Here is a 22,552-nt window from a genome sequence, read left to right as displayed (position 1 = left end):
CAATAAGACAACTTCTTTACCATTTAAAAAAAAGCATATCTTCGTTTCATATATTTTAAAAAATGAATTTGAGTAATTTGGACAAATTCAAAAATCTTTTTGGGATTGAATAGTGAATTTATAGACTTCATTAGGTGAAATTGGTATCTTGATAACTGTTGAGTTTTTTGTCTTCCTTTTTAAGTTTTATTTTGTAAAGTTTCTTTTAATAAATGTTTATTCCTGATTCATTCCCAGGAATTTTTTGTATGTTATTGCTATTATGAATGAGATATTTTCTTCCATTTTGTTTTATTTATTTATTATTTATTTATTTGAGACAGAGACTTGCTCTGATGCCCAAGCTGGAGTGCAGTGGTGTGATTTTGGCTCACTGCAACCTCCGCCTCCCGGGTTTAAGCAATTCTCCTGCCTCAGCCTCCTGAGTAGCTGGGATTATAGGCGTGTGCCACCATGCTCGGCTATTTTTTGTATTTTTAGTAGAGACGGGGTTTTACCATGTTGGCCAGGCTGTTCTCGAACTCCTGACCTCATGATCCGCCTGCCTCGGCCTCCGACAATGCTGGGATTACAGGCATGAGACACCGTGACCAGTCTAACTTTTGTATTTCTAGTAGAGATGAGGTTTCACCATGTTGGTCAGGCTGGTCTTGAACTCCTGACCTCAAGTGATCCACCCTCCTCGGCTTCCCGAAGTGCTGGGATTGTAGGCGTGAGCCACCGCGCCCGGCCCCCTTTTGTTTTCTCACTGGATTTTGTTTGTGTATTAGAGAGCCATTTATTTTTTAAGATAAGTTTTATAACTGGGCCACCTTTCTGAGTCCCTTTCACTCATTGTTTTGGTTTTCCAGACACACAGCATTGTTTCTTCAGATTATCATGCTGTTGTCCCCTGCTTTTCAGTGTTGATGCCTTTTAATTCATCCTCTTTTCTAATCGCATTGGTTGCTCTTTTTAAAAAAATGTTAGATGACCATGGTGTTAGTTTATATTTTTAGGTATAATCCTGGCTTTCAGTTATTTAGATGAGAAGATTGGTGTGTTTGTTTCTTTAATTTAAAAAGAAGAAAAAACAACCCACAACTCTGTTGGTTCTTTTCCTCAGTTTCTCTGTTTGGCTTTTTAGGAAGTTAGGAAACTTTATAAAACTGCTTTATTTCTTCTTAAAGTTCTTTCTTTGCTTAGTAATGAAAGTATTTGACTTTAACTTTTTCTCTGAGAACAACCACTTATTTCTTATGGATTGGTTTATATTAATTTATTACTCTTTTCTGTATTCTAATTCTACAGTTTTAGTTCTGTTTTTTTCTGATCAAAAAGTCATGTGGGAAGGAGATTAAATTTATAAAAATGTGGGGAGCTTTTACTTTTGTGGTTAATTTCTGCTTGCTTACATCAGTGAATATGATTTGTATGGCTGCTACATTTTAGAATTAATTTTTTCTTGGTCTTATACAGTCCTTTTTAAAAATTAGTGTTACATTGATATTTATAAAGTAAGTACACACACCTATCAAAATATGTTTGACATTCTGACCAGGTGATTTTTGGAGTGACAGTAGAGGCTGATAACCTCTTCTAAAGAGAAAGTTTAAGTCTGTTGTGGTATGCACATATACACATGTATATCCACAAATACAAGGTCTTATTAATTATATTATTCAGAGGCTTTATGTAATAATTTTTTTTTTTTGAGATAGGGTCTCACTCTGTCACCCAGGCTGGAGTGCAGTGGCATGATCTTGGCTCACTGCAACCTCCGCCTCCCGGGTTGAAGCGATTCTCCTGCCTCAGCCTCCCAAGTAGGTGGGATTATAGGCACGTGCCACCACGCCCAGCTAATTTTTGTATTTTTAGTAGAGACACGGTTTCACTATGTTGTCCAGGCTGGTCTTGTACTCCTGACCTCAAGTAATCCACCCGCCTCAGCCTCCCAAAGTGCTGGGATTACAGGTGTGAGCCAGTGTGCCTGGCCTATGTCATAACTTTTTGAGGGATCAAATTTATTTACCAATGACTAAGAGTAGTGATTTTATCCTTTTTTCTTGGTCCTTTTGCCTTACATTTAATCTTATCAAATGTTAACATTGTCATCTGTGTGTTTTGTAATTTTGGAAATGGAGTTGGAGGTATGTTCCAGTTTTATCCTTGCCTCTCCCTTTGAGTTTGAGCACTTCAGAAATGGCACTTTTGCTCTAGCAGGGAAATTTAGAGAACTGAGAGTTTCCGTTGGCTTTTGCATAAATTTTTTTTTTTTTCCTATTCCTAGGGGACTCATTCTCACAGTTCCGGTTTGCTGAGGAGAAAGAATGGGATAGTGAAGCTTCTTGTCCAAAACAGGTAAGATAAGAGTTGTGTTAAGTGTGGACTGGCTCTTCTTCAAGGCTGAAGGCTAACACCTTTTACGTTCTTGAGATAGAGTCTTCATGTAGAAAAGAGTAGTAATTCTTACAGTGTACCCTCAGCTAAACTTTTCAGAAAATTTTCAGGGGGCTGAAATTCCACAGGTCCTTGAAGCTAGAGTTCACCTTTCTACCTGGCCATCTGTGTGAATTATGCAGCCCACATGGACGGGGTCTCGAGGTAGAAACTTGATAGCCGTGATTTTGACAGAGTGGATTACTTTGCCATTTGGTCTTCCTCCTTTGCCACGCTTTGACAATTCCCTTGAGAGTTGAAAATTAGTTTTCTGTCTCTCACTGTTTTTGGTGTTAGGTTGAGAAAACCCTTAACCTTGCAGCTTTAAATAACACTTCTCCTACAATTAGGAGAATAGAAGTATAAAATAAGGGCAAATATTATAGAAGTCTTTCAGCAAGTCTCTCAACCCCAAATGCCTTATTTTCTTTGTGTGTATGTAATATTTTCTTCCCAAGGAGTTCTGATTATTTTCCAAGCAGGCTTCCTCTAATTCTTTTCATATAAGAGATGACAGATATTCTCCCCCTTTTAGGATGCACATAGGGACATAGTGGTGACTTGTGATATGCTCCCCAACTCCAGGCCTAGAGCATACTGTCTGATAAACTGATTACCATCTGCCCCCAGCTTCAGAGAGGTGGCTGAAGCTGCAGACCCGAAGCCCGTAGGCACTGTCCTCCCTGTTCTGCTCCCACATCAGCGTATGTGCTGTGGGTGGCTCGTTTGATCTGTGGGCTGGTTTTAGGCTCAATTGTTTGGGATGGCCTTTGACGCATACGGATTACGAGGAGGGGAGTCTCTTAGAAAATGACTGCCTGGCACTTTACAAAGAACGTGTTATATATGCCATAGAAAAAGGTGAGAATTACAAATATTTGTCTTTGCTTAAGTCTGGGCCTACGCCTGAGGTACTGTTTAGTATTCTAGGACACATCGAAGATAGATTGTTGAGGAATATGGTAGAAGCCGAACAATTTACATTTCATCTCCTTTTGAACCATACTGATTACCAAAGAATATTTCAAGTAGCTTCAGAGTTTCAAATAATTCTAAGCTTCGTCATTCATCAAAACATAGAGCACTTGTTTACTAAATGTTTTTATTAAATGGAGCTTATTCAAAGTGAATGAGACAGACCATGCCTGTTCATTGCTCTAAGCCCCTTACCTGGGCACACTCGGTGACCTGTAGTCTGTAGTATGGTAGATGCTCAGTAGATATTTACCTAATACATGAAAAAGAATACAACCTAAAATAAGGGGTGTGATGAATGAATTAACAATACTGAGAGAGATAGCTACTTTGCACTGGAAGTGATTAGAATTGGTACCATGGGGAAAAGATCATTTGAACGGGTCTTGGTGGACAAGTGTGACTCTGGTAGGTCCTGTCTGAGGAAACAACATGAAAATGGTAAGATCAGGAAAACGAGGTTATGCTCAGAGAAGGGTGTGGCCAGAGTGTAGTATTCCCAGAGGAGGAGGCCTCAGGGGCAGGTGTGGGCTAGTTAGTACCAGCAGTTTCAGACCTGAGTGTGAATTCTAGATCTGAGACTTGGGCAAACTTTTTCCTTCTCTATTGCTTCACCTGTAAAATGGAGGTAATAACAAAATATAACTCAGAGTTATAAGAAGGACTAAATTAGATAATAAATAAAAAGCCCTTGAGTGCAGTTCCTGATGCATATGAAACACTCAAAATGAGCTCTTTTATTACTAATATTATCTGTTAACAAAGTTTTGTTTAGCAAGAACATGGAAATGGTTAGATCTAACTTCAGCAGTATTGGGAAGGATGGGGAGGGATTGAACGGATGAGATGAGAGGTTAGAGGCAGGGAAACCGATTAGGAGGATGTGATGTTGGACGAATGGGAAAGAACGAGAGCCTGAGAGGGTCAGGCAGTGAGCGTGGGACAGGGGTTACTCATAGACAAGACTTGAGTGGAGGATGGGGTCAACTGTGCTCACTGGCCAGATGTGAGACACAAGGACAAGAAAGATTTGCAATGGCACTATGCTTTCTAGCTTGAGTAACTAGGTGAGTGGTGATGCCATGAATGGAAAAAAATAAGAGCAGAAAGAAGTTAAGTTTGATTTTGAACAGTTCGAGTTGGAGGTGTTGGTAGGACATGGCTGAAACTGAATTCATTTCACCATCAAAACGATTTCCTGTCTGACTTAACTCCTCACTAAATTTTCTTCCTTGTTGATGTAAGAGAAAAAACTGGATATATATAATATATAATACGTATTATATATAATTATATGTAATATATAATACGTATATTATATATTGAGTGCATATATATAATATATATTATATGTTGAGTGTATATATATATTATATATTATATATATGTACACACACACATATATGTAATTTGTTGTTCCTTATACCATCCCATGTCCTCAGTGTGACCAGTGACGCAAGACAATAGAGAGGGGGCGGGCGCAGTGGCTCACGCCTATAATCCCAGCACTTTGGGAGGCCGAGGTGGGCAGATTACCTGAGGTCAGGAGTTCGAGACCAGCCTGGCCAACATGGTGAAACCCTGCGTCTACTGAAAATACAAAAATTAGCTGGGCGTGGTGGGGCACGTCTGTAATCCCAGCTGCTTGGGAGGCTGAGGCAGGAGAATCGCTTGAACCAAGAAGGCGGAGGTTGCAGTGAGCCGAGATCGTGCCATTGCACTCCAGCCTGGGCAACAGAGAGACTCCATCTCAAAAAAAAAAAAAAAAAAAAAAAAAGAAAAGGAAAAGTAGAAATATGTTTTGTCTTTGCAGTTAAAGGGAGTGGGAGTTTGATAGGGAGACATGTCCAAAATCCTCAAGGGAATCCTGGCAGGAGAGGGACCGGGCGTCACGGCTTGGACTTGGCGTTCGTTGCTCTGTGGCTGATACGCAGGGTGAAGGGACACAGGTCGGCGGTCAGGGTGCTCTGATCTAGCTATGTTGGCCTCCATGACCACAGGGGTGTCGGTCTCTTAGATCCACAAGTGGGATTCTCATACCTTTCCTTTGGACAGGGTGGGTACCATGTAAAGAGAGGATGAGTGGGAAGGTAATTTCCCTGGGTGAACAAACAGATTTATTATTTTTTAAATCACCTAAGTTTTTAAAATTCCACATTAAATTTCTGTTGACATGGTGACTTATCCAGTAGGACTTCCTTGGGCAATATACTGGCTGCTGAGCAAACTGCTGGCTGCTGAGCAAACTGCTGGCTGCTGAGTGATATGCGGCCGTTCCTGAGGGCCTGGCTTTTAAAGGCACAGATTCCCGGCTCCCCCCACGCCACCCAGAGAGTTCAGTTCTGTGGGTGAGGCCTGTGAACCTGTATCTTAAAAAGCTGCCCAGCTTATTACTCCACCATACCATGTACACATGGTCTCTGGGCCCCAGGCTCATATGGACAGTAATTGCTGTAGATTCTGAGGAGGATGTAATAGTCTGATTGAAGGGTATGTTTTTTAGCTGCAAAGTGAAGTATATAGCGGGTTCTTTTCTTACTAAAGAGTGTGCCTTTATACAGATACTGGACACTCAGAGTCTTATGATTCCTGGCCAGAGAGGAAGCTTCAGGCTTGCAGATTCTCAGCACACAGACAGGGTCCTGTGCACACTGATGGCAGAGAAGTGGGACAGAAAGGCTTTGTCCTACAGTCAGGACTGGCTCCCCTCTCCCCAGCACTGGAGTGTCTCCTTTCTCTTTACACCCCACCCCCATAGCATCCTTAGTGGGTGTTGTCTGCTCCTGTCTGCAGCCAGATGTCGTAGGCCAGGCCCTCTACTTCAACTGCCAAGTGGCTGCCAGGGTTGACCAGGCTGACATGGGAGCTGGGTTACCCAGGCAAAAATAATGCACCGAATACTTTAAAACATGTACAAAATGCTGATTTATTATTATTCCAATTAAACCTATTTTTAAAATTCACAGTTTAGTATTAAAAGCAATTCACTGCAGCTAACTTTATATCTAAGGCCTTCTTCAGCTTTAGCCCTTTATGGGGCAAACTGGTGACCAAAAAAGAAAGCCTTCTTACAAAGTGGCTTTTTTTTTTTTTTTTTGAGGAGACTAGCTCGTTTGAAACCTTCGCAACACCTGTCAGTCCCTTCTCACTGCCTAAATAGCCCTTTCCTCTTCTGAGGCCAGCAGTCTGAATTTAGAGAAGAGATCAGGTTAGATTTCATTAAATGCTTGCTTTTCTTTCAGCTTGTCAGTCATTGCAAAAGCCTCCACCGTTTCCAGGTTACTGGACAGTCTTTTTTTTTTTGAGATGGAGTTTCACTCTTGTTGCTCAGGCTGTTTTGCAGTGTTGCGATCTCGGCTCCCTGCGGCCTCTGCCTCCCAGGTTCAAGCGATTCTCCTGCCTCAGCCTCCCGAGTAGCTGGGATTACAGGCATCAGCCACCATACCCAGTTAATTTTTTGTATTTTCAGTAGAAACAGGGTTTCACCATGTTGGCTAGGATGGTCTCAAACTCCTAACCTCAGGTGATTCACCCGCCTCGGCCTCCTGAAGTGCTGGGATTACGGGCATGAGCCACTGCGCCCAGCCTGGACAGTCTTGATGGGAGGATGATCATTGCCCTGTTGTTGCTCTGACAGTGTGAGCTGTGGCTCAAGAAGGTAGCTTTGGTTTTACTGATCATAATGTGGAGATGCAGAAACTCTAACACATAAGTGTGATGTATGGTGTGACTTATTCCTAGCCAAATGTAACTCCAGTGGATTATTTACAGTTTCTTCTTTTATTTCCAAAAGGTCATAATCATCACCTGATATTTTATTTTCTTTTATATATATATATAGAATTCAGCATTTTATGTGGATAGTGAGTTATTGGTTCGAGCCCTTCAAGAGCTGCCTCTCTGCCTCCGACTCAACGTTGCTGCCGAACTGGTCCAGGTAAAAATCCCGAAGCCCTCTTGAAGCGGGTGGATTAGGGCAGGAGGAGAAAAAGAGGGGAACACTTCCCTCAGCAGGATGTCTCAGTGTCAGCTTCCCTTTATAAAAGTGAGGGTTTCATATCAAGGTAGCATTTTGTAAAGTTTAAAGGAGAATCCAAAAATTTTTTGAAGTTACTTTTTTATATTTTATATTTGAAACATTTTAAAGGATCAAATGTAGTGGAATTGAGTGAAATGTAAAATATAAAGTCTGGCTATTTTACTCAAAATATTTACGCATCACGCTCTATGTTCGGCACTAGGGACACAGTGGTGAACAGACAGATGTCGTTCCTGCCTTTCTGGAACTTAATCTATTGGGAAGGATGAATATTAATCAAATAGTCACACAAACATATACAAATTGTAATACATCCTGTGAAGTACAGTGTGCTTTTAGAGTAAATCAGTTTCTGGTGTGGTGTGGTTAGGAATGGCTTTCTGAAGCAGTGATAGATGAGCTGAGGTCTAAAGCATAAGGACATTTGAGCTGGCATTTAAACGAGAAAGACCCAGTCAGCTTTGCGTTAATAAAAACGATGGGGCTGCCAAGTAGAGAAGACTGTGGGATTGGAGTGCATGTGTGGGGGTAAGTCTGCATGTGCACATACACATGCACAGAGCAGGTGAGGGAGGCACATGGGGAGGCTGTTGTACAGGTGCAGGTGAGTAGTACTGTAGCTTGGACTACAGTAATGACGGTGGAGATGGCAGAGGAGAGGGCTGTACTGAGGTACTTCAAAGGTACAATTAACAGGATTTGACGGTATATTGGAAATTGGGAGAGAGTGGTCAAGAAAAAATTCAAGACTTTGTAGATTGTGCAACTCAGTGGTAGGATCAGGAAGGGTGAGTTTTGGACTTTATGAGTTTGTGCCTCTGAGATATCCAAGTGGAAATAACAGTCAACTGAATGCTGAACTTTATAGTTCTACATCAAGGGCTAGAAATACAAATTCAGGAGATAACAGGATGAAGTGATAATTGATGAACTAAGAGAGGGGGAGGCCCAAAGATTATGCCATGAAGAACTTCAACATTCTGGCACGATCAAAAAAAAAAAAAAAAGTGAAACCTTGGGACGTACTGATTTTAAGTAGAATCCTAGCAACTGAAATTATCAACTTCCTTCTGTGGGTGAATGTGATGCTAAGCTTGAGCATAGTAATGAATTGGTTACCCATTCATTTGCTGTATAGCATTTACTAGTCTAAAATTTGGGACAGCAGGCAGAGTTCAGGGATGGAGGACAGTTAGGGACAGGGTAGAGAACTAGAAAGAATTACATTTGCCTCTGATGGGGGATTGCCCTGGGGGTTCTTTGGAAACATTTGGGGGTGTTTGGGAGAGCACTAGTGGCTCTTCTGCTGATGTCCAGTGATGTTCAAAGTTCTGAAGTGCTTGGCTTGATCTCATATGATGAGGAATGTTTAGCAGAACTCACCAGGGAAATGCTGAGATAAAGGATTCAGGACTCAGGACAGAGAGGAAGTGGTTGTGAGTGTTTGAAGTGAAGGTTGTAATGTCAGTGGCAGGCATTAAAGGTATAAAATAATTATGTGACATTGAAATCCTGGCTAAATCACTTAGAAACATTTCTCCCCCACCCATGCTGTAGAGCAGTATTCTCTACCTTGTTTGCACATTAGAATCACCTGGGGAGTTAAAAACAAACAAAAACAAGGCCAGACACCCACCCCAGAACAATTAAATGACTCTAAGATTAGAATAGAGGACCATGTCCCAGCTTTGCCCTGTACAACTGACTGACTCTGCTGGATATTTATTCCTGTTTGTATATAAAGCCATACCGTCTTACATGTCTGCTCAGGATGTTTATGTAAAAATAAGGGGTCAGGACCTCCAGTAGAGGTTGAACTTCTGAACCTGCCCACTGTGAGGCCTTGCTCATCCCTGGAGCCTTCCCTCGAGAGCGGTGATTCTCAGCCTTAGATTATAACCTTGTATTACAATCACCGGGGGAGTTTGTAACTTTTATTAAAGTATAACATCGATTCAGAAAAGTGCACATGTAAGTATACATGGAATGAGCATCCGGATAAAGACTTAGAATATTGTCAGCACCTCAGAAGCCACCATTCATACACACTCCACGTCACTCTCTCCCCAAAAGGCACTCGCTCACCTAACTTCTAATACCGTAGCTTTTGAACTTTTTACAAATACAATCATCAAATAGTGTATTTTCTTTTGTGTCTGGCATTTTTTACCAAGGAGAGTCTTGGTGAATTTGTTACTGCACCTTTATATTAGTGCACTTAAATACAATGAACAGATCTGATTTGCTAATTACTTCCTGGTGACTTTTTTTTTTTTTTTTTTTTTTTTGAGACGGAGTCTCATTCTGTTGCCCAGGCTCGAGTGCAGTGGTACAATCTCAGCTTACTGCAAGCTCCGCCTCCCAGGTTCACGCCATTCTCCTGCCTCAGCCTCCCGAGTAGCTGGGACTAGACACTCTCCACCACTCCTGGCTAATTTTTTTGTTTTTTGTTTGTTTGTTTGTTTGTTTGTTTAGTAGAGACAGGGTTTCACCATGTTAGCCAGGATGGTCTCAATCTCCTGACCTCATGATCCACCCACCTTGGCCTCCCAAAGTGCTGGGATTACAGGCATGAGCCACTGCGCCTGGCCACTTCTTGGTGACTTTTTATAGATGTTCATGTCTTAATACAGATTTAAGTGTAAAGCCAAATAGACCTATGGTACTGGCAGTTTTCAGGCCAGGGCTAGGAAGACATGGATCTTTTCATTCCAAATCTGAGCTAGTTAGCACATGGTCAAGGTAGGGAGAGTGGGAGGCACAGTGCTGGCATGTTTCAGTGAGGTCTCCCACATTTACCCCAGATGTCAGGAAGGGTGCCCCCACCAGGGCCTGGAAAGGAGCCACTTTGTGAACTATCTGAATTGAGTTTCCTCTGTCACAAAGTTTGATGGCTTCGTTTAGCCTCCTATGTATTTACTTAAGCCAATATGGCAAGACTCACATTTTTAACTCAGTTTTTATACTTCTCTTTCAGGGTACAGTTCCTTTAGAGGTTCCTCAGGTGAAACCAAAGAGAACTGATGATGGCAAGGGATTAGGGATGCAGTTAAAGGGGCCCTTGGGGCCTGGAGGAAGGGGGCCCATCTTTGAGCTGAAATCTGTGGCTGCTGGCTGCCCTGTGTTGCTGGGCAAAGACAACCCAAGCCCGGGTCCTTCAAGGGATTCTCAGAAACCCACTTCCCCACTGCAGTCAGCAGGAGACCATTTGGAAGAAGAACTAGATCTGTTGCTTAATTTAGATGCACCTATAAAAGAGGGAGATAACATCTTACCAGATCAGACGTCTCAGGACCTGAAATCCAAGGAAGATGGGGAGGTGGTCCAAGAGGAAGAAGGTATGGCTTTCATTTTATTCCCCGTGAATCTTGATTCTGGTGTTTTTTCAAGAACAGCCCCGCCCGCATCACATCCGCACACATCCCTCTGGGTGTCTGACATTGATCCAGTGTTGTCCACTGACATCTATTTCTGTGCTCACGTCTCTGCTTCCCCCTGAGCTGACCTTTCTGACAACCTTCCTCTCACGCGACACACCAAGCTTCCAAAGCTGCTACCTGCCTGACTGCAGTAGAAACCTGGGGCTGCAAATGGAATTTCCGCTATCAGAAGGCATTAGGATACCTGTAGCCTTCAGCTTTTTGGCAGTGGCCCTTTTAATCGACTGACAGGCCACCTCTTCATACCTTTTTCTTGCTATTTCTGTCTTATATTTTGACAAAAGAACACCACATTCTGATTTCTGCATGTCCTGTGAGATAGTGGCCCATCTGATGTAGAGGGGCCTAAGGTGATTGCCACATGCATGTATTACATTTGAGATCCTTTAATTTTCCAGGACTGCTGCAATAATAATAGTAAAAAGGAAACTGAGCTGTTGGTCTTTGAAAAAAAAACCAACTAGCAAGGTGTGAAGTTCAACTTCAGAATAAAGAGCAAATCCTCTACCCAGCTTTATTTGTTTAGATATTACTGTATCATCTTAGGGAGTAAGAATAATGAGAATGTTTCCCCTTGTTGTAAGGAAAGTAATAAATTGGGCTGAATTATACCTTCAATTTTAGGACTCATCTGAGGGTGTTAACATTGTTTTTTTTCCCCCAGTTTGTGCAAAACCATCTGTGACTGAAGAAAAAAACATGGAACCTGAGCAACCAAGTACCTCCAAAAATGTTACCGAGGAAGAGCTGGAAGACTGGTTGGACAGCATGATTTCCTAAAAAGGGGAAAAAAAGTGCCTGAAGCAAATCTTGGTTGCCTTCTAACGGCAGGTGGGCATAAGGCTGTCCTTCAGGACCAGCCAGTTTACAAGCATGTCTCAAGCTAGTGTGTTCCATTATGCTCACAGCAGTAAATGCCTACCTCTGTGTTTGACATCTGAAAGAATACATTGAAGCAGCTTGTTGCATTTGTTTTTCTGGCTTAGTAATCTAATAGATTTCCTTAAGGGCAGGAGATAGACTCTGGCCCTTGTTTCTAGCCTCCTTCCTTGCAGTGTTTACAACATAGCCAGTGTTTACAGCATAGCAGATGCTGCTGCTGATTAAGAGAATAGATGCAAACAAGGCATGCATTTGGCCAAAATAAACAAATGCTGGTCTGTCCAGTTTTCCTTTCCTTTCTTGTGTGGGGCCCTGGGCAATTCGTCTCATGTCCCCTTTCCCAGCAGTCACAGAGTGGTTGTAGAATCAACCAGAAGTGGTACATTCCAAGAGTCCAGACCCTGGAGGTATTGGTACGTATTACTTTATTGCAGTGGGCACTTCATTGTATTTGAGGAGATTCACCTAAACAGAGCAGCTCCACTACTTACAAGGGACCATAAAGCATTACTCCATTTTGGCATAAGGTTGAGATTTTTTTTCTGAATTTTCAGTACAGTACTTTTCTTCTAATAACAGCAGTTGACTGACAGCTGTTACTAAAAAAACTTGTATGAATAACCTTCAAGTGCAGTTTCATAAAGTAAGACGGAAGATCACAACTAATGAATGGAACTGTCCTTCTGGAACACAAACATAAAAAACTTGCATAGCTATGTCTAAAGAGGTTTTAAGGCACTTAATCGATATTTCAGTGTCGACAAAGTGTCGGTTTTTTTCTGTTTCTTTAACTGCTTAAAGCTTTTCTGGATACAGTCACTAGCAAGTACCATGGGAAAAATTAGACTGCAGTTATTATCTTTTGGAGTGAGTTCAGACCCTATGAGTCACAAGTTGGATACCATGATGACATTCAAGTGTTTAAATTTTCAGGTATTACACATTCGAGATTTCATACTTCTCTAGCCCTTTCCTTCATGCTTCCATCCCAACAAACTGAACTAGTTACCTCAGAACTGGAAAACTTGAAGGCATTTGCCTAGAGATTACTTGATTCTTCGCCTTCCTTCTTCGACATTTTGACAGGTTCTCTCCCACAGTGTATGTCCATTAGGCACAAAAAGCCAAATCAATTTCAAAATAGCACAGATTTTCAGCAGTTTTTTTTTTAAGGGAGGCATTTAGAAAATGTCACATTTCAGATATGTTGCAGAACTGTAAAAAGGGGACTTTATTTCATGGGAAGTTGACTGTCCAGAATTGTCGCGCTTCTTTGATTCAGATTTATCCAAGCTGATCTTCATATTGTTTACGAAAGCAGTCACCGGCTGGGAAGAAATCCCAACACCTTTCTTGGTACATCTTCCAGACATAAGATTCCTGAAATAATATGAACAACGGGTGCTTATTTTTAAACCACAGTAAAAGCTAAAACCCAGTTTGTTTTTGTTCTTTGTGGCTCCCTTTAGGAAGACTGATGTGAATTTATATGAGGCCAAACCTGCACATTCATTCTTGCTCTATTCCCAGCACAGGCTGTTTGGGAAGCAAGAAGCCATGTCTCTCTGACACATGCTGGCAGGGAAGGAGAAAAATCCCCCTCTGCCCCAAACAAGCAAAACTGAAACCAATCAATGTTTGCCACTAAACATACTTAAAGATTTAGCAATAAGCTGATTCCATGCCGCTGGTGGAAGACGGAGGAATGCTTGAGGGAACGTTTATTGCATGCTGAATCCAGAGCTGGAAACCAGGTACCTCTCCCATTGAATGAGTGAACTGTAAAGTTTTCCTACAAAGCCAATGATGTTTGAATATTTGATAACTGACTTTTTCCTCCCTTGTTCTCTACCTTTCCATTTCTTTTTCACATTTAGTCACAAAATTTGACACATCCTTTCACTCATCCTCTCACATGCACACCTCCAGGCTCCTGTGTCACCCACACATGAGGTCGTTATCTTTCTTAGCCTGTCTCTCACTCCGTTGTACTCTGATTTTTCTGCTCTTTGTTGCAGCCACCCACTCCATTTCTTATTGTCAGACAATTTCTTATTTCATATTGTCTCTGTAATGTTCTCCCCACCTCCAGCTCTTCTAGTCTGAAGCAGTAGCTATAAGCATTTAGAAAATGTCAGTGTTTGTTGGGAAGGATAAACAGGAGGACTTTGGCTTCTTATTGAGTCACAAAAAGGTGATGGGAAAATGCATTCACGGGATTAATGGGGCCATGTATGTATTTCAGATAACCTATGCCCTACTAAGTCTCAAGATTTAGGAAAGGGAGATCTAACACGGGTATATGATTCTTAATTTCTCACCTGACCCGTGTGCTCTGTTTCATCTTTATTAATCAAATACATCAGAAAGAACCTGGAACGAGGAAAAGATAGTATTAGATACTCTGGTCAAGACCCAAGTTCATTCGCATGGATTAACTGTGATCAGGGCTCAGAAAGGCTAGTTGGTCCCACGCTATCTACAGTGACTTAAATGATCAGGGAAGTGTGGCATAAGGACACAAACCATCATTTTCTAATAGTAGCACACATGAATCTCAAAATTAGCCACTTTGTGAGGAGAGATGCTTTTTGCCATCCCTATACCTTGAACTAAGTAAGATCACTTGCAAGGTAGCATTTTGGCCACCATTTTATTGTTAACAAAATTCTAATAAAACAATAAAATGGTAGCCCAAATTCTTACCATAGAATATTTAACAGGCCATTTATCATCTCATAAAAATGTAGAATTGAATTGAAATTAATTATGTGTGTGTCTCAAGAATATCTGTCATGGAAAAGTTAGAAAGTATTTAATCTCATGGAGATTCTTCCAGAACTATAGTTTTGTTTTCATCATAAATAGCTGCGGGAATGCCAGTGTAGTTTCACTTGCTCTGTGATCCATATCTTAGGTTTGAGTTTGTCTGTGACACATAAGTATCCCAGGGGGCAGGGGCTGAACTCTCAGCTCACATTATATGATCTCAGAGACCGTTTCCAAAGGAACCAGGCTCTTGCCCTTCCGGAAAAGGATTGTGAAGTTGGTGATATGAGAAAGTAGAAATTATGTCCTTCTGAGGGTGGAGAGTCTAAGCCCCAGATCTTGAGTTCTGTCATGGTGGTATAGTGTATAGAGCGTCAGGTCCTGGCCCACAGTAGCAGCTCTAAGTATGTTCACTGCCTTTCCGCTTCTCATTTACTGAGAAAGACAGTAGGGTTAATCTCTTTATCCTGTTTGATACGTAGGGGCTGAGGACATCATTCCTTGCCCAGCACATTTATTTAACAAAGCACCATTTTAGGTGGGAGGCTCAAACACGAATAAAATTGGGTTCTTTCCCCTCAAGCTTGCTCCTAGAGGGGATAGAGATAGGAAAGAGACCAGTGTAACAGTGCCATGGGAAGGCACAGAAGGGGTTCCAACCCAAAGGACAGCATCCTTCCACTGGTCTATAACCCATGGGTACAGACACGTGGCCATGGGCTCATTAACCTCCATTAAGATGTATATTCTCTTAATGGGAATTGATGATAAATACTCATGAGGAAGGGCACAGTAAAGTTATCTTTTTAAAACTCAAGTTTTTGAGGCCGGGTGTGATGGCTCACGCCTCTAATTCCAGCACTTTGGGAGGCTGAGGCCAAGGCAGGTGGATCACTTCAGGTCAGGAGTTTGAGACCAGCTTGGCCAACACGGTGAAACCCTGTCTCTACTAAAAATACAAAAATTAGCCCAGGATGGTGGCAGGTGCCTGTAGTCCCAGCTACTCAGGAGGCTGAGGCAGGAGAATCACTTGAATCCAGGAGGTGGAGGCTACAGTGAGCCAAGATGGCGCCACTGCACTTCAGCCTGGGTGACAGAGACTGTCTCAATAAATAAAAAAACAAAACTCATGTTTTTGACTTAAACTCATCCCCCAGCAAAAACATGTTATCTTTGCCACTTCTGACAATGCCTTCTCCAAAGGCTGAGCCTGCTCTAGCCTAAAGAAAGATGAGGGCTCAGCCCAGTGGCTCACACCCGTAATCCCAGCACTCTGGGAGGCCAAGGTGGGTGGATAGCTTGAGCTCAGGAGTTCGAGATCAGCCTGGGCAATACAGCAAAGCCCCTTCTCTACCAAAAAAAAAAATTAGCTGGTGCTAAATTAGTGGTACACCTGTCCCAGCTACTCAGGAGGCTGAGGCGGATGTCTTGAGCCTGGGAGGTGGAGGTTGCAGTGAGCCAAGATCATACCACTGCACTCGAGCCTGGGCAACGGGGTTGAGACCCTATCTATCTCGAAAGATGAGGACTCTCTAAGCTACAAAATAGAGAGAGAAGGGGGAAGAGCTAGGCTGGGGAGCAGAGCCCAGCATTTTATTTTTTTTCTTGTAAATGAACAGTTACAGGGTCTGAGTTATCAGGTAATAAAATCTATACACTCTATACATTCTGTTTTAAGTTTTATAGGAAGTCCCTAGCACCCAATAGGTTCAAGTAACTTGTTATTCAGTGAATGCTTTACCGTAGAATAAGTGAAACACTTATTAGTTGCCTACTGGGTGCCAGGCATTGTTCTAGGTACTGGGATAAAGCAGTATGAGGCTGGGCACAGTGGCTCACACCTGTAATCCTAGCACTGAGAGGCCGAGGCAGGCAGATCACCTGAGGTCAGGAGTTCAAGACCAGCCTGGCCAACAAAAACAAAAAAAGGCAGTATGAAAACAGACATGCCCAAAAATATCCCAGGTCATGGGGCTTAGCTATTAATGAGAAAAGACAGACATGATGAGGCCTGAAAACTGAACACAGAATTTAGCAACATGCAGGTTACAGGCCCCTTTGACAAGACCCAATATTATGATGTAGTGGGAGGAAAGCCTGCCAGTAGGAGGTTCACAGGAGAATGAAAAGAGAAAAATTGAAGACAGTGACTGAGCATGGACAGCTTTCAATTGTGCTGAAAGGGAAAAAGAAGTAGGGCAATAGTTGGAAGTAAAAGTGGGGCCACAGATTTTTCTTTGTTTAGGATTAAAAAAAAAAAAGCATATTTATATGGTGATAGAAGAAGTCCAGTAGAGAAAGAGAAATTGCTGGAGGTATGTGTCCCGGATGGAATCCAATCACAGGTTGAGGGGCTGGCCTTTTGCTAGGAGCGGGAATTGTCCACAACACACGTCTATCACACATGGGAGAGACAGAGTCTATGGACAAAGGTACAGGCTCATGGGGACTCCTGGAAGTTCCTTTCTGGTTACTCTTTTTCCAGCAGAGACTGAACTATATGACCTAATTGGCTTTATTTACGCTACAGCTGCCATTACTTTTGTTAACCAAGAATACTCACAAGTAGTTGGCTAAGTTGTGCTCTTGTAATGTATGTGTTTCAAAACCATGAGGGGTTGTGTCAAAGTAGTCATTGCCAATCCCACAGATGAAACATTTAGTCTAAGAAAAATAACAGGCAGAAAAGGCATTTGTTGGCATAATATAGGCAGGAGAGAAAACTGTCATGATTCTATCGAATTGAAGGATAATGAAAACTTTCTTTCTAATGCTTTTGGCTATTAGTCATTCACTCAGTAGTGCCATACATTGGCTATTAGTCATTCACTCAGTAGTGCCATACACTTAGCTCCTGATTAGCTGAGGATACTGCTCCCTCCTATTGTGGGACAGTGGAGGAGGCAGCAGAGTGGCCGGCCTGGCAGGGGTATGGCAGGGTGCAGAGAACAGGGCATGGAAAACAAACTGCGTTCTTGCTTAGTACTGGCCCTAAGTAATAGTAAAACCTATTGTTTAAAAAATCTATTTGCTTCTGGGGATATTAAAATAGAGCTGGGATTAGTAGTTAGAGTAACATTACCTCCATATCTTCTCGTACTTGTTCCTGCTGGTCTCTTAGCTCTCCGAAAGCATCAATAATAAGACCTGGAATGTTAAATACAAAGACAAAGCAATCTGTGTAGTGGTTCAGGGGTAGAGGAATGATAAAGGAAGAAGCTACTTTGTTCTGTTAAAAAAAAAAAGTGAATTATCAAAGCAAAATTAGAAAAATAATACTCGTGTTTCTTTGTGTTACATCCTGGCTAACAATTTCTCATTGTTCCTCCTAACTCTACCTTTCTACACCATGCAGTGCTGTTAACTACTTGCTCCTCCCTGAAACTCTTTCCTTTCTACTTCTCCCTGGTTGGTCTCCTATTTTGCTTAGCTATTTGTGTTCAGTCTGTGTGATAGGCTCTCCCTCTTCTCCTAGCACCTCTGACACTGAGGTGGATCAGGGTTCCTCCTCAGTTACTTCACTTCTTAGCCCTCAACACCTGCATGTCTTACAGGTTCCTCCACTCAGCATGACTCAAGCTAAATTTATCATCTTTCTCCAATCTTGACAAGCTGTTGACTAAAATATCATTCTTTCCCTCCCCTCCCCTGCACTGTCCAGCTCCTCTGCTCCTACCCTACCTCCCTCTCTGGGAAGAAAATGAAGAGGACAAGACTAGCCACAGGAGAGATCTCAGAAGCAGAAGTGAGGAGTAAATAATTCAGAGTAGAGGAACAGAAGGAAGGGGTTCCTCTGTATGGATGAAGCTTCTTATAACTGTGCCTGGGTGTGTATTTGGCTTTATATATAGCCAAAGCCTCAGGTATAGTAGATGCTAAATTAGTTCTTGCTAAATTAACAAGTAAATGAATTCACACGCTTCTTCATAAACCAATTAAGTCATAGATGGAAGAAAGCAAAAAGAACTAGATTAAACCCTGTTCATACTCAACACAATTGGCAATCATACCTTGAATGATGGCCAGCAAGATGACAATGACGAAGAAGAAAAAGGTAATGTCAAAGACAATGCGATACATTTCATAAGGATCACCAGCAGGGTCTTCAATTTCATCACCAATGCCACCTCCTGCTCTCACTCCCACGTACATGTGGAAAAGGTAACACTAGAGAAGAAAAATAAGGGGGATTTAGGCAAAAGTCACAGTTCTGTTTTTAGCAAGATGCTCAGATCATTCATATGATTCGGTCAGATTGTGGCAGCCCTAAGCCACGAGAGGGGAACTCTTCAGAGGTGCCAGTATTCATGCTGCTAGCTGCTGTCCACTGCACCCTCTGGACAGTTTGATATCTACAAAGATGGAAAGACTGTCGTTACATTTAGGCTTTTAAAAGGTATTTTTAGGCCCATTAAAGGTGTATATAAGTTAAAAGATCTTTAAGCCTTGATGAGTATGGCCTATGCCATATAATAATTTTTCCTCATTTAATTTTAAGAGTGTTAGCCTGGCCTTCAGGCTGTGCTATAAACTGCAAAAAGGTCCCCCCTCTTCTTCATCCACATTCCCCTTACACCTGGTAGGGCAGGGATTCCTGCAGCAGGAAGGTCAAAGGTAATGGACTTTTCTGCTCCTCCTGTTCTGCAGGTTTGAGCCAATCTAGGCACGGGCTCCCTGAGCAGGGCACCCTCTGTCTCTCCACCTGATGGGTTGATTAGACTCACAGAGAAAGGACCGTCTTACACCTGGAAAATCAAAAGCCAGGGGCAGCCTGAAGACACGCTGGTCATGCCAGTACTCTAGGGGCTAGGATTGCTGTCTCATGACGGTGCTTGGCCCGAGAAAGCACATGGAGAGTTTTTCGTCAAGAAGTGTTACCTCTTTTATGGAGATGCTCACAGACTGGGCATTTCACTGTCCCCTGTCCCTGAGACACAGATTCTTTTTCTGAAATCTGGTCAAAATAAACTGGCGATGTTGCTGCAGCCAAGCTGGCTTACTCTGGGCAGTGCCTTTTTTCTCACGAAGATCTGGCCTGACGGGACTCCCCCTCCCCACCTCCAACCTGATCCTGCTGCTGGCTGTCCGCAAAGAACCTCCGACTGGCTTGCTGAAATAAATCAAGTGCTTAATCCCGGTCCATGGGACTTTGCTCTCTGTTCTGAGAGACGATGATCAAAGCTCAACTTCCATGAAATTTAGACACTGGTTTCATTCATAATAATGTCTCATCTTGGCCAGGTGCAGTGGCTCACGCCTGTAATCCCAGCACTTTGGGAGGCAGAGGTGGGCAGATCACCTGAGGTCGGGAGTTTGAGACCAGCCTGACCAACATAGAGAAACCCCATCACTACTAAAAAAAATACAAAATTAGCCAGGTGTGGTGGTGCATGCCTGTAATCCCAGCTACTAGGGAGGCTGAGGCAGAAGAATCACTTGAACCTGAGAGGCGGAGGTTGCAATGAGCTGAGATGACGCCATTGCACTCCAGCCTGGGCGACAAAAGCAAAACTCCATCTCAAAAAAATAAAATAATGTCTCATCTTTACCCCGGAAATAGATGAATGATGACGCCACTGTGCAGGGTGCTTCCCTTTCCACGGGGCTTAGATGTGTGGTAATGAAAACTACCTCCATCACTTCTGTCTTCCCAGGACACTCTCCTGTTTGGAGAAGACATCTGTCTTCTACTTTAATCTCTGCTGTGCTCTGTAACTAACTCTACAGTTCTCAAGAGCACCCCCACACAGCCCTTCTTCCCAGTGAGGTGGTGGGGCGGGGTGGCCCCGCAGTGGGTGGGCTGGCCCCGCAGTGGGTGGGCTCTCACCGTCATCATGTCGTCGCACTTCATATCGGGCTCGTCATCGTCTTCGCTTTTGTTGTAGAACTTGCGGAAGAAGTTGAAAGCCACCACAGTATAGAGATAAACCACCACGGCCAGGAGACCGACAGTCAGAACCAACTGGGAATGAGAGGACAGAGAAAGGAAAAGGAGTGGGGTCTTCTCTACCTTGAAAGGTTCACAGGAGACTCTAAGAAAACGAGGAGGAAGAGTGAGGACGGGCAAGGAGAGGAAATGGGGAAGGGGTGGAGGGCGGCTAAGAAAGCTATCAGGCCATGAGCAGAGGAGGAAAGATGGCACCACAGGTAAAGAGAAGCGGGCTTCCTGGCAGAAAAGAGTAATGATGGGGTGTTGGGGGCTGAATTGTGTCCCTTCAAATTCATATGCTGAGGTCCTGGCCTCCAGTACCTCAGAATGTGACTGTATTTGGAGATGGAGATACAGCCTTCAAAGAGGTGAGTAAGTTAAACTGAGGTTGTTAAGATGGGCCCGCAACCAATCTCACCGGCATCCTTAGAAGAAAAGGAGTTGGAGACACAGAGAGAGAGGCTAGACACAGGCACACGTGAAGGGACGGTCAGGGGAAGCGGCAGCGAGAGGGTGCTGTCTACAGCCACAGAGAGGCCCCTGAGGAGACCAGGTGCTGGTGCTGCCAGCACCATGATACTGGACTTACTTACCGCCTCCAGAACTGTCGAAAAGACATTTCTGTTGTTTAACAAAATAGCAGTCTGTAGTACTTCGTTCTGGCAGCCCAAGCAGACTAATGTATAGGGCATTAGATTGGGCGTAAGTAAAATATAAAGGAACTTAAGTATTGAATAGTGCAGGTGCTGTGAGGAGGGATACATTGTGTTTTGTTATTGTTCATACAGAGCTAGCTGTTACCTGAGGCTTCACAATGTAGCTTCTACTCTAATGCTGCTGCTTAAAAAACCCCAGGCCGGGCATGGGGTGGCTCACGCCTGTAATCCCAGCACTTTAGGAGGCCGAGGCGGGCGGATCACGAGGTCAGGAGGTCGAGATCAGCCTGGCCAACATGGTGAAACCCTGTCTCTACTAAAAATACAAAAATTAGCTTGGCGTGGTGGTGTGTGCCTGTAATCCCACCTACTTGGGAGGCTGAGGCAGGAGAATCGCTTGAACCCAGGAGTCGGAGGTTGCAGTAAGCTGAGATCGCGCCACTGCACTTCAGCCTTGTGGCAGAGTGAGACTCCGTCTCAAAAAAACAAACAAACAAACAAACAAAAAACCCAAAGGTTCTTTGGACTGGTGGATATCCCTACCTTATACTATTTCATAAATAATCATGCACTGGATAATTGTCACAACTTTGAAGTTACTCTAAGAATTATGATGGTGGAGCTGAGTCACACTTTTTATTACAGAGAATTCTGCCCAGGCCCTTTGCAGTGTCCTAGGGCACGCTTACTTCCAGGCTTTAGGAGTGAGAGTTCACTGGCTTAAGTGAGGAGTACACAGGACCTGCACATCTGACCTCTCTCAAGGACTAGGCATTGAGCTGGGAGATAGGAAGATCAACAGGATCAGAGCTTTGCCTTCAAGGAGCCACACAAAAGGGAGTGGGTAAGTGTGAAGATCAGCACCAGAGGAAATGTATTCAGCAGACTTGAGGGAAGAATAGTGACTCAAACCTTGGAGAGCAGACCTCACAGAAAGCAGGTGGTTTAGGAAAAAAAAGAGAAAGAACTTGGACTTTGCATCAGGGAAGAAAAGGGGGTGAATCTACGCTCTGCCACTTAGCAGCTGTGTGGTCTTGGGTGAGACATTTAGCTGCTCTGAGCCTCAGTTCTCTTATCTGTAAAGTGAGCTTAACGTGTGCCTTACCAGGTAGTTGTGAGGCTGTCACAGTAACTGGGACACGGCATGAGCTTGGCACACTGTAACTTCCGTCTTTTCTCCCTCTCCCGTACAAAGGTTTGGACATGTGAGGAAGCCTGTCTGTCATACACAGACTTGTACTTAATGAGGAATGAAATGCTAAACAGTTTGAATCTGTATACAAGGAGAAGCCATTAGAAGATTTTAATATGGTTATAGCCGTTGCTATATCCAGTCTCATCAATATCCAGTCTTCCATATATTGTCAGAGTCAATTTCTTGATTATATATTAACTATATAATATGTATTAACTATATAATGTATATACACACATAAAATGTGTA

General features: G+C 43.0%; 2 protein-coding genes across 27 annotated transcripts in view, besides 1 other annotated feature; one reads left to right on the top strand and one right to left on the bottom strand.

Annotated features, from left to right (window-relative positions):
* The window catches only part of AVEN (apoptosis and caspase activation inhibitor), a 223,545-nt gene that overhangs the window by 197,061 nt on the left and 3,932 nt on the right, over window positions 1–22,552 (top strand). For 5 of the 11 annotated variants that reach the window (XM_047432882.1, XM_011521818.3, XM_024449999.2 and 2 more), the window contains 4 exons: window positions 2,270–2,340; window positions 7,235–7,330; window positions 10,410–10,770; window positions 11,537–12,038. In XM_047432882.1, the coding sequence (XP_047288838.1) occupies window positions 2,270–2,340; window positions 7,235–7,330; window positions 10,410–10,770; window positions 11,537–11,652 (644 nt within the window). In that variant the 3' untranslated portion in view covers window positions 11,653–12,038. Of the gene's footprint in view, window positions 1–2,269; window positions 2,341–7,234; window positions 7,331–10,409; window positions 10,771–11,536; window positions 12,039–13,223; window positions 21,953–22,552 lie in introns of those variants that run through there. The other 6 variants (XR_002957667.2, XR_007064478.1, XR_007064477.1 and 3 more) reach the window with 5 other exon arrangements.
* The window catches only part of RYR3 (ryanodine receptor 3), a 555,136-nt gene continuing 544,746 nt past the window's right edge, over window positions 12,163–22,552 (bottom strand). For 15 of the 16 annotated variants that reach the window (NM_001036.6, XM_017022468.2, XM_017022475.2 and 12 more), the window contains 6 exons: window positions 20,351–20,485; window positions 18,534–18,690; window positions 17,606–17,670; window positions 17,087–17,187; window positions 14,076–14,127; window positions 12,163–13,134 (listed from right to left, as the gene is read on the bottom strand). In NM_001036.6, coding sequence (NP_001027.3) covers window positions 13,039–13,134; window positions 14,076–14,127; window positions 17,087–17,187; window positions 17,606–17,670; window positions 18,534–18,690; window positions 20,351–20,485 — 606 coding nt within the window. In that variant the 3' untranslated portion in view covers window positions 12,163–13,038. Of the gene's footprint in view, window positions 14,128–17,086; window positions 17,188–17,605; window positions 17,671–18,533; window positions 18,691–20,350; window positions 20,486–22,552 lie in introns of all 16 variants that reach the window. The other variant, XM_047432931.1, reaches the window with a different exon arrangement.
* Window positions 18,745–19,944: an enhancer, noted in NCBI's record as "CDK7 strongly-dependent group 2 enhancer chr15:34150522-34151721 (GRCh37/hg19 assembly coordinates)". NCBI's record gives its function as "activates an origin of replication core promoter dependent on BRD2, BRD4, P300/CBP, MED14 and CDK7 cofactors, with strong dependence on CDK7, by STARR-seq in HCT116 cells {active_cell/tissue: HCT116}" and the evidence as "EXISTENCE:reporter gene assay evidence [ECO:0000049][PMID:35650434]".

This window comes from Homo sapiens, chromosome 15, assembly GCF_000001405.40.
Source record: "Homo sapiens chromosome 15, GRCh38.p14 Primary Assembly".
Lineage (NCBI taxonomy): Eukaryota > Metazoa > Chordata > Mammalia > Primates > Hominidae > Homo > Homo sapiens.
The sequence above is the reverse complement of the archived record's forward strand: the minus strand, read 5'-3'. Positions and strand labels throughout refer to the sequence as shown.